Here is an 11,203-nt window from a genome sequence, read left to right on the forward strand (position 1 = left end):
CATGGTTTGAGGAGCAGAGACTGGACTGGATTTTGGCCCTCAAGTCCAATCAGCTAGGTTTCCTTGTGCAGGGCACAACCTACATAACCACACACAGCAGCCCTGACTATAAATTAAGGCCTTTGTCTTTGATTAATAACTCTCCTATTTGACTTTGTCAAAGCAAAGAAATAGTTGCTCCCAAGGCTTAAGAGAATTGAGTTGAGAATCTGGGAGAGGCTGAATCCCCCTACTCTGAGACTTTATTTATTCCTTCTTTAGTGTTGATAGTGCTTACACATATGTACTTATTACTGTGAGACTCACAGGTATTGTAAAACTTGAAAGAAAATGCCTATCTCCTGGATAATCCTGAGAATTAATTGAGATCTATGTGCAAATGCCTTGTAAAATGTAGAGAGCTGTTTACACGTAAAGTAATAGTATGGTTGCTTTTATTGTCTCTATGGCAGCATATAGTAACACCTCTGCTGTTTTCCCACCCAAGAGTGCATGGCTATTATTATTGCTATTATTGCCTACTATTAAATCTATCATTGCATTGATATTATGTAAGTGCAAATTAGACCTGTTTCTGAGAAAGGCGCTTCCTCTAACTCCAGTAAGTTGCCAATGAGAGTTCCTAATTGGAAATATTAACTTATAAGAACCAGAAGTGTCATACCAGCCAGTAATAGGCTGCTCTTCTCTCCCCTCCCACACCATCACTACAACCACCACTGCTACGGCCACGTGGCAATGCCATCACTGCTTTTGCGAACAGATCAGGAAAAAAAAAAAAAAACCTCCCAATTATTCCTACTACTTCCAAATATTTCTAGGCCCCTCCAAAGGAAGGGGTCCCTTTCCACTGTATTTTGTATGTCACAAAGTGTCCTCTCTGAAGGTTTGCTTGGGGGTCCACAGTGTTAAAAAGTAGCCTCAAATCCAGCCAAGTAGGGAAGAAGTCAGGCTCTGCCTTCCTCAGACCTTCTCAGCTGAGATCACACAAAAAGTTTGTTGTCTTTTTAGTTCTTCTCAGTCCAGATAGATAACATCCAGGAATACTTAGCAGCCTCAGTCCCAGCAGTTGAGAGGAGCTGGAAAATTAGCTAAAGATTTGATCCGGTATGTGCTACGGATGGTGTGTTGCAGTCTTCCTCACTGATGTGTTGACCCAATCTGTACTCACTGGCTTCTGGCTTGGTTTCTCACCAAATCTCCAATTTTCTAATGGGACAAAAGATGTGGCCTGACCCTTAGGCCACTTAGCTAAAGCTCTGATAATCTATTTTTGTTCATTCTCTGGATCCTGCTTTACATGTTCCCATGGGTTGGGGCATTGTTTCCAACAAATGATCAAGTGGACAACAAGGGCAAGGTCTATCTTACTTTAACACTCACTCCCCTTCCACCATTCCCCCTGTCACACCTCACCCACCAGTTGGCATGCCCTCAGATACAGACATGTGCCTGTACCATGTATGGGTATTACACACTCCTTTGAACAAAGCACAGTGAGCTGCCTGAGGTTGTACTCAGGCCACAGCCCAACCAATGGCTCAGTTCCCCTGCCCCCACCCCACCCACATTCTGACTCATGTCACTGAGGTCCCAGCATGCCTCATCTGAATCTGCCTATGTTTTGTCAAAAAACAAAGGAAAATCCTGCAGTGCAGAGCTTTTGTCTTCACTCCCTTTAATCTCTCTTTCTGAATCCCTCCTCCACTTCCTGTTGCTGTCCTTGCTATTCAAGGTCTTCGTTTGCTCCATAACCATCCTCTCTGGGTTTTTTTCTCTGCATCCTCAAAATTTCCATTCCCTTAGTGAGCAGATCTGTACTGTAATAAAGAAAACAATCTGACTAAGCGAAGTCATATTAAAACAATGGGAACTTAAAGCAAGAAATATTTATTTGATTATTATTAAGTGAAAGCAGCATTTCTCAACTCTGGCTGCACGTTACAAGCGCCCGGGAAGCTATTTAAAATACCTTTGCTGGGACCCACCACAGACCAATTCTAGTAGAATTTCTGGAGGTGGCGCTGTGGCACCAGTATTCTTGAAAAGATGTCCAGGTAATTCTAGCATGCAGCCACACTGAGAACCCTTGACGTAAAGGAATCTCTAATGGTAGGGCAATAATATGTGCATTTGCTCCCTCCCTGCCTCAAAGGGGTTGTGGGTGGTTAGCACTCAATCCTAATTCTTCTCAGTCTGGCAGCCCAAAGAGCTTCAGGGCCTGGATTTATTTAACATTTTATGGTAGAGGCCAAAATGTCATTTCAAAGTATACAAATGGGTGGGATGTGAAACATTCATGGAATATAAACTTGCAGGAGACATTGGGCTTCAAGAAGATTTGTAACCTATTATAAAGTTATGATACTAAATATATTAGCCTGTTTCTGGCATGGCTCCTCCTGCAAATGATTTTATGTCTTTCAAAATAATTCTATGCTCTGCTTTGAAAGTATCAAGCTCTATTATGAAGTAATCAGAGCCATACTGATTGCTAAACATCACGGAATCTTGTCAACTGGAGCTGGAGGCAGATTACTGTAGTTCTGGAACTAAAAACTCCTCTTGCCCTCATCCTCTTGTGATCATCATAATTAAGGTCCAATACTGAAGCCACTTGAAACTTAAAACAGGCTTCTGATTATAGGCCAGGCCTAAGCTGGACCATTCTCTAACAAACATTTCCTTAACAATGGTTAAGGAAATGACTGGGACCAGGACTAATCCTTGAAGGAATCAGTTTGTCAAATAGTTTCTGAGATATCCATCCTAAAGTGGTGGAGTGGCTGCAGTGGGGGAATGAGCAGCGTTCCCATGAATCATAGCCATCTCCAGAGGAAGGTAAAATGGAGGTTAAAAAATTGGAATAGAAAAAATCAAAACTAGGTGTCACAAGGGCTTGCCATAAGTGTGAGTAAAAGAGATCTGATTCAAGAGGACCAGAAAGGGCCCCCTTTTGCCAAAATGCACCCAACTAACTTTGAGAATGATAGCTTTAGTGGGTCAAGTCCTTTGCTTCACATTTTGTCTATCGTCTCTGCAAGAATCGTCTTTGAACATTAAGCTTCCATTGGAAGGGGAAACTTAAAATTTAGACAGTCTTTTCATTTTAATATGCTTTCATTCATCAGCTAGGTGCCCCCCATATCAACTAACTGTGTGCTGCAAAAAGAAAAGCCCTGCTTTGAGAAAAGGCAGAAGGTATGGACATTTCGGAGTCCACAGAAGACAGATTCTAAGTAAGTGTCCCACAAGGACACTGGGTACCGTTGAAGGAAAGTATCCAGAAGGGAGTCAAAAGTAAATCTCTCCTCAGTGACTAGAACAAACAAAAATGAAGCCATAAGAAGACCCGCGCCTCCCCATACCATTTTGGCACTTTCGAAGCTACCAAGGTCCTAAGGGCAGAAAGAAAGGATGTATGGCTACAGTGCTCTTGACACCATTCTTCACTCAGGCGCTAAGAGCAGGCACTAGCATTCACAGGCATATGAAGCACAGAGTTCTTTGTACTGTTATTCAGTTCATAAAATAGGCTCTGTTGAAGCAGGGCAGTCTTGGGACCTGTGTGTGAGTGAAAAAGGGCAAATGTGTAAAGAAATGGGAAGGGATGTGCTACCCTAGGGTGTGAGGGTAGGAAACCTTTTGGAGATTGTAATCTCTTTCCCTGAAGTCACGTTTAAATTTCAGCGGGAGAAAGCACTCACTGCGAATTCTGTCTGCCTGGTGAATCCTCTGGAGGGCTTTCCGCATGCTTTGGCTGTCTTGTCCTGTGGTCAGGACGACCCCTACAGGTAAGCCGTGGCTCCGAAGAGCACTTGCGACTCGATTGGCTGTATGCACCCAAATGTCTTCATCTGAGGAAATGACTCCAGCATGAGCCCACTGGAAATATTTCATGACAGTTACAAGCACCCGGATGGGAGAAGGGAGTGTCCGAGAAAAGGTCGGGTAGCTAATTTTATTGTCTAATTCATAATTCACACAAGCCCAAGAGAAAATTCCTTTGTCCCAGCTGTTTCCCAGGAGCGAGGCTGCCTCGCAGTAGCCAGGGTTGGTAGGTCCAATAAATCCTGAGGCCATCTGGTGGTGGGAAATGAAACTGGAGAGAGCCCTCGAAGTCTGGCAGTCTTCATTGAGAATCACGTATTCAAAAGAATAACTCAGGTCAAAAGATGGGTCCCGGTTGATTCGCTCAATGGCTAATCGCGCAGCAACCTCAGGCAGGGCCTTTGAAAACAGCGAATCACAAGCCCAAGGGCCCACCACCCCTATCTTGTAGGGGAGTGTCCACACCTGCTGCGGAAGGGACATGACAGACAGAAGGCACAAGCACCACAGGAACTTGGCAGATGCAAGGCCATGGTGTCCCAGCAGTTTCCTGAAAGCCGCAAACCAGAGAACAAGGCGAGAAAAGCGCCCGAGTCCCAGGAACATAGCCCTCCTGCTTCCAGCAAGCTAATGACGAGATACTGGAGAGTTATTCTGCTTTCCCGACACAGACGGTGGTGTTTCCAAATGCCTGTCAATCAGAGGAAAAGGTTTGTTACTCACATTATTTCTGAAGCTTCTGGAAATCATCGGTTGTGAAAGAATGGCAAAAAAAAAAAAAAAATGGCAGTGCCCAAACTAAAAGTTTCTTTCCCCCATCCTGACAAAACTCCTCCTCTTCCTGTACCCCGTATCTCAGTACATGGCACATCCATCCACTGTTTGCCCACTTGCTTCTTTCAGAAAACTGGAAATCACTGAGACTCCTTCTCTTCCCCCACATTCAATCTATCACCAATTCCTATTTATTCAACTTCAGTAATAGCTGCCCACCTTACAGTGTTTTGAAAATTACATGAGTTAACACACGGCAAGTGCTTATAACAGAGCCTGGCAAGTCATTGGCATTATATTAGACATAGTATCATTATTATAGTTTTCAATATGTCCATTTTTCTCTCCCATACAGCTCTCTTGGAGAGAAATAGATGTAAACAGATAATAACAATGCAGAGTAAAAAGTGCTATGATTGAGGTAGCCCAAACAGAGAGACAGAGAGGATCACCTAAACCCAGATTTCAGGGGAGGAGAGAAGGGAGGAAGAACAGTCTCTCTGGATTGAGTACTGAAGAAAAGTTAGCCAGGTGAATGAAGTTGCAGGAGTAGTTTGGTGCTAAGATGCTAAGAGCCTTCCAAACAGAAGGAACAACATGCAGAAAGACCCAGAGGTAAAGATAGATAGATAGATAGATAGATAGATAGATAGATAGATAGATAGATAGACAGACTATATATATATGTGTGTGTGTATATATGTGCGTGTGTATATATATGTGTATATATATATGTGCGTGTATATATGTATGTGTGTGTGTGTATACATATATATATGGATTCTTAGAATTCTAAAGCATTTGTTCTGCTTGAGTCTGTGATGTCAGACAAGGCAAGGGCCAGATCACCAAGATATGCCATGATTGAATACTGTACCCAATGGTTTTAAGCAGGGAAATAGTATTATCAGATTTCCATTTTAAAGGATCTCTCTAGCAACAATGTGGAGAATGAGTTGGAAGAAAGCAAGACTGGAGGCAAAGAGACCAGTTTGGAGTCTGTCACAATAATCCATATGAGAAATGATGACAGACCAAGAGAGTGGTAGTGAAGACCTAGAGGAATGGGATCATCTCCTCCAAGATTAAAAATATCAAGATTAAGAAAACAGAAATAACAAGAACTTGGTGACTGACAAGATATAGAAGGTAAGTGAAAAGAAAGGAGGACTCTAGGATGATTTTGAGCTTTTCAGACCTAGGAAACTGATTGGAAAATGGCACAAGTCTCTGAGATAGGAAACACTGGAGGAAGGAGGTGGGAGAGACGATGCATTCTGATAGAGATCTTGAATTGGCCAACAAGTGGCAATATCCAGTAGATAACAGCACATACTGGAGGGCCTAGGAAAAAAATAGAAAGCTGAACAAGAGTTATAAATTCTTAATAGAAAGCTGAATAAGAGTTATAAATTTGAGTGTAATCAATTGATAGAGGGTAATTTAAAACATGCCTTTTGTGGAGTAAAGAAAGAAGACAAAGGACAAAACCCTGAGACCCCACAACACTTAAAGATAGGTCACAGAGATGTTAATAAGGAGAATCCTTAGTAAATCCTTAATTCTAATCAAAGATCAAAATAATGGCATAGCTTTCTTCAGGGCTGATAATCAGCGCTGGTGTGCACCAATCAGGCCAAACTGGTTGTTTATGGGCAGCAACAATTCTGTCTGTGCCAGCCCTGTTGGTTATTATCTTGACTCTCACTCCTAATTTTATGAGAAACCTTGACTCCTGAAGAGACCAATCTGAGGCATATCTAGTGAATCTTAAAGACCTACCACAAATAGTATGCCCCAACATTCGTATATTGGTGAAAGCTGATTTGAATGAGAGTCAAGAAAGTCTTGGGGGAGCAAACAGTTCACAAAACAACATAAGCCAGTGGCTGAGGGGTGTGTGGGATGGGGGAGGACTTCTAACTTTGCTTTGGGGACAGTGGAAAGATGATTCTGAGCTGATTATATGCATAAGAGCCTCAAATTTATTCCTAGGCCCTCAAAGATAATCCAGTCTAACCTGCCTCCAAAAAATTAGATCTATTCTGTGCACTATGTTGAATGCATGAGAGTGAGATACAGGATGGATGAAGTGTGAGGTGTTGACTCAGGCTTCAAAGAGCTCCCAACCCAGAGCTGAGCTCTAGTCAAGAGCCACAAGCTTCTCTTCCAGCTTCTTCCAGCCTCCCTCTTTTCTCTGCCATGGCAAAATTTGGGAGGCAGGACACTGTAGGAGCCACTCATCTGGAGTAATATGGGAAGGATCTCTATTTCTGGTCTGTATTGTGACAAGGATATTGAACTACATTATCTCTCTGTCCTTATAGGCCTCACTCTTTTGACCACTAGGAATGTGCAACAGTGAGGACAGCTCTATATGGGAAACAAAACCCTATTCACAGCAACAGGGCAAGAAAGCCGACATACTGCCTCTTCTTCCCCAAACACACTAGTTTCATGGGTTCCTTCCCAGTATCTGTGCATTTAATCCAGAAATTAGCACTTAGACTAACAAAGTCTAAGATATACTGAGTTCTTGCTGTGTGTCAAATGCTGGGCTACACTCTTTCCATGTATTGTCTCATTTTAAAAACTGAATTTAAAAAACTCATCACAGTCCTTTGAAGTAGGTGTTATTATCATCACTATTTACAGATGATGAAACTGAGGCTCAGAAAGGGTAAGTAACTTGCCTAAGGGCAAACCACGGTAGAATGGAGATTTGCACCCCAGTTGATTGAGCCCTGTGCTAGATAGAAGTTCTGCAGATAGCCCCTCATCTATGAAGTCAATGAGACTACCATTATTATACCTGCTATGTTACTCAAACTGAGTTCGAATCATTCATTTGCAGTTTAAAGAAGTTCCCCAGTCACCCATGAAAGAATAAATTAGGTAGAGTTGGGGAGGGGCAGAGTAAATTGGGAGGAGCCACCAAGAAATTCATTATCCAACCAGAAGTAATTTGCTACTAGTGTTCAAGCCTAGCCCTGGGACTGCCCACTGACTCCTCACTCAGGGCACAGTGCTGCACAGCTGGGGGTGGGGAGCACCAGTTCCACTGTATTCTATGTAAAGCTAATCCTAATCTTTGAGAATGGAAATCTTGAGGGTACACCCTTCAGCATATTAGCCCCAATTTTCAACTTCCTCATCTGCAAAGTGGGGGTAAATTTAATTTAATCATTTTGAGATAAAGAAGTAAATAAATTAGAATACTAAGTGCACAGTTGTCTTTCAATAAACACTGGTTCTTCCTCCCTATTTGGAAAGAGGACTGCACTGGGAATCAGAAGGCCAGGGTCCTGGACCCAATTCTGCACCAACTCACCATGTGACCTGAACAGATTGTTGCCTACTCTAGGTCTCTCCTTTTTCCCCTTTAGCTGGACTAGCAGATCAGCAAGTCCCTTTATTCTCTGACCTCCATCCATCCTGGGATTCTGTACTTTGTCTAGGCAGTTACTTTTCTAAACCTCTGCACTTTGAAACTGCTGAGTTCATTCAACATTTTCTAGCCTTTGCTGCTCTAATTAGCTTCTCACTGGAGTTGGATTCCCCCAAAGTACTTGCTTCTATCTGGTAGATCCAGTTCCTGATCATTTTTAATTTTGGCCTGGAATCCTCTGTCAAGCTTCTGTGATGTGAAGACCCCACTCCCCGACAATGCTGGAGTTATGCTACACTGAAAACCTGGGCTCCTAAAATCACTGGTTATCTTATTATCATTAATAACAAACACACGTTGAGAAGTTGGTCTGTGCTAAGACTAACTACAAAAAAAAAATGGGAGAGTATAAGGGCCTGGCCAAGAAATCTAAACAAGAAAAGCAAGCATGTACCTCAGGAGGGAGAAAACCAAGTTAGTAAGTTCCCTGCTTGCTTTTGCTTAACATTAAATCTCCAGTGCCCTTCGCAGTGCCTGACACATAGTAGGTGCGCAAAAAATATATGTTGAATTAATACTGAAGAGGAGATATGGAGCACAAATAAAATGTTTTGTATTACCATGTTATTTAAAATGCTCTATTTTAGGCCTTAATCAAGACCCACCTTTGGCAAAATTATCAAGGGGTAAAGTTTGTCTTCAGACTTCTAGCACAGCTCTCTCTGCCCTCTCGTTAATGGAGAGAAAACAACTCTAAAGAAAGAAACTCTTTAAATGATTTGCACTAATATGTAAATGAATGATAATATTTGACACTTTCCTGTATTCCTCCCCAACCAGTGGTGTTTGTTCTCTCTTAAGGGCTGGGGAGAAGTTTATGCCAAAATAATTAATCTCTAATAATATAATGTCTATTTCAAGCATCAGTTGCAGGTAGGCAAAGGAGGATGGACTACTTTTTGAGCAAAAAAATGAAGAAACTTTTGGTGCCCCTCAGATCAAAGTGATTAACTGTCCATTCTAGGTGTAAGGCTGGCATTTTTGTGTTATAATCCAGGTAACTCCTAAGCACAATGCCCACCCCAAATTCTAAAAAGTTAGATTTTTTATACCATTTCTAAAATTCATACAACACGGGTCCCTCCTCAGGCCACATGCCACAAAGTGTCCCTTGGCATTCACTCTCAGTTTTTGTTGCTCTTTTCCCTTTGTTAACTGCAAGATAAACATTTCCCAAGCTGAAGGTCTGCCCTTACATTTTTTCTGGTACCGATGTGATGCATTTGGTGATATTTCTAACTCTGTTAGGACTCCCTGGACAACCAGAAAGTTTTATGTTGCTGTAGGATTTAGTCTTGATCCCCCAACTCAAGATTTTACAGAAGGAAACTTATTCTTTAAAAAAGAAAAAAGAAAAAAAGAAGGGAAGGAAGGAAGGAAGGGAGGAAGAGAGAAGGAAGGAAAAGAGGAAGGGGGAGGAAGGGAGAGGGAAGGAGGGAAGAAGAGAAAGAAGGAAGGAAAGAAGGGGAGGGAGGAATGAAGGGAGAGAAGAAGGAAGGAAGGAAGGAAGGAAGGAAGGAAGGAAGGAAGGAAGGAAGGAAGGAAGGAAGGAAGGGAGGGAGGGAGGGAAAGAAAGGGGCAAGATAGGGGGAGGATGCCCTAAACCTCCACCTGCTGATTTTGGTTTAAGGAAAAAAATTAGCTCACTAAAGTCTTTCCTGGGGTTAATGGGAAATGTGGATATAACTAAAACAAAGTTTGAAGGTATGAAATTTTGGAAATAGAATACTACTGGCCCACAGTTGTTCTGGGGCCATTGCCTAGGTTACTCAGGTGTGAACACCTGCATGGGATCAGACTTCCATGGAAAGCGGCTAGAGCATAGGGATGCATAATTTCATTTCAGGTAGTTTTTACAATCTGATGGGAAGCCTGGCTTCACACAGAAAACCACCGTTCGTTAAACATGTACAAAGAAAGACTATGACAAATAGCTCTGAGGGAAATGGCTCCTCATACCAGCTTGTCAAGCCGAGGACTTCTATGAAAGATTGATTTGTCTTTCTAATTACAGCCTGAATCAAGTTAACAGCTTGTATAAGACAACATCAGGAAGCAATAAAAAAAGAATCATGAGAGAAACTAAACGAAAGCTTGGATGAGAGCCTTTGAGCTCAAATCTTGACTTAAAGTATCTCGAAGGCTCTCTTTAACCCTTCTTTCCTTCTTTCCTTCATTCTTTAAATTTTTTTTTTTACTACATATTGCAGTAAAACTAATGTATCTCAATCAGCGTCTCAGCTCCCAGGTGGGCTGTGTCTTTTTTCCCCCCATTACAATCTTTCTTATAAACAAGAGCTGTCAACTACTCACCAAGTAATTCACCGCTCAAATGTCTTCAGTTTACTGCCTGCGCATGCAGACCACTGGCATAGCTACCTCAGTGTGTCCATTTCTTTGCATCCTCTATGCATTCACAATCCTGTCAAGGACTCCAGTCTGTTGACAAATTCCATTAATGGGGTAAATAATTGAAAGCGTTAGTAAATGTTTTGAAAATCACTCTTCAGCATCCGCAGACCAAGACTTGGATTAGGATTTAGAGTGACACTTCTAATCCTTTAAATTGATCCCACCTGTAGCAGAGTTAGTGCTGACCTAAATGCAATGACCCAGAGATTAACAAACAAATAGAGTCCTCTGGATAAATACGTCCTCCACAGACTACTGCCTTCTTTTACCTTTCAAAGTCAGACACAAACTCTCAGATTTTGCCTCTGTGTTCTTCCTTGTTCCATTCTGTCTAATAACCACCAATCGCCCTTTCTCCAGGACAGTTCTAAATGCCAAAACATTCATCAGCTGTGATTCCAGCCCAGAATATAAAAGGTGATCCAGGCTGGCTCCCTGCAAAATTCAAAGCAGGTGAATTTTGTCTCCTTCTCCTATTCCCCTTAAGTGCCTTCACTGCCTTTCCTCCCAAGAGAGACTCCCTACTTCCCTCTACACCTTTGTACAGAGACATTGTTTCCCCATACTTTAGATGTATTCCTTTTCCTTAAGAAGTCCCTCTCTGTCCTGGGCATCATTCACTCAGGGCCCTGTTCTGGATTCCCAACGTGAGAACTGAGGTGTTAAGGGCTAAAAATGACTTATATTAAATGAGAAATGTTTTTTAATAATAGTTTTATTGAGATATAATTTATCTAC

General features: G+C 42.0%; 1 protein-coding gene across 1 annotated transcript in view, besides 2 other annotated features; it reads right to left on the reverse strand.

Annotated features, from left to right (window-relative positions):
• GUCY2F (guanylate cyclase 2F, retinal) overlaps nucleotides 1-10,587 on the reverse strand; it is a 109,181-nt gene extending 98,594 nt beyond the window's left edge. Inside the window, exons 1-2 of the mRNA NM_001522.3 lie at nucleotides 10,367-10,587; nucleotides 3,708-4,522 (exon numbers count right to left, since the gene is read on the reverse strand). Coding sequence (NP_001513.2) covers nucleotides 3,708-4,437 — 730 coding nt within the window. The 5' untranslated portion in view covers nucleotides 4,438-4,522; nucleotides 10,367-10,587. The remainder of the gene's footprint in view (nucleotides 1-3,707; nucleotides 4,523-10,366) is intronic.
• Nucleotides 596-1,097: an enhancer, noted in NCBI's record as "H3K27ac hESC enhancer chrX:108715324-108715825 (GRCh37/hg19 assembly coordinates)". NCBI's record gives its function as "activates a minimal SCP1, AML or CMV promoter by ChIP-STARR-seq in naive H9 embryonic stem cells {active_cell/tissue: H9 hESC(naive)}" and the evidence as "EXISTENCE:reporter gene assay evidence [ECO:0000049][PMID:30033119]".
• Nucleotides 1,401-1,695: an enhancer, noted in NCBI's record as "tiled region #8383; HepG2 Activating non-DNase unmatched - State 24:Quies, and K562 Activating non-DNase unmatched - State 24:Quies". NCBI's record gives its function as "activates a minimal TATA promoter and a strong SV40 promoter by Sharpr-MPRA in HepG2 and K562 cells {active_cell/tissue: HepG2 | K562}" and the evidence as "EXISTENCE:reporter gene assay evidence [ECO:0000049][PMID:27701403]".

Source organism: Homo sapiens, chromosome X (assembly GCF_000001405.40).
Source record: "Homo sapiens chromosome X, GRCh38.p14 Primary Assembly".
Classification (NCBI taxonomy): Eukaryota; Metazoa; Chordata; class Mammalia; order Primates; family Hominidae; genus Homo; species Homo sapiens.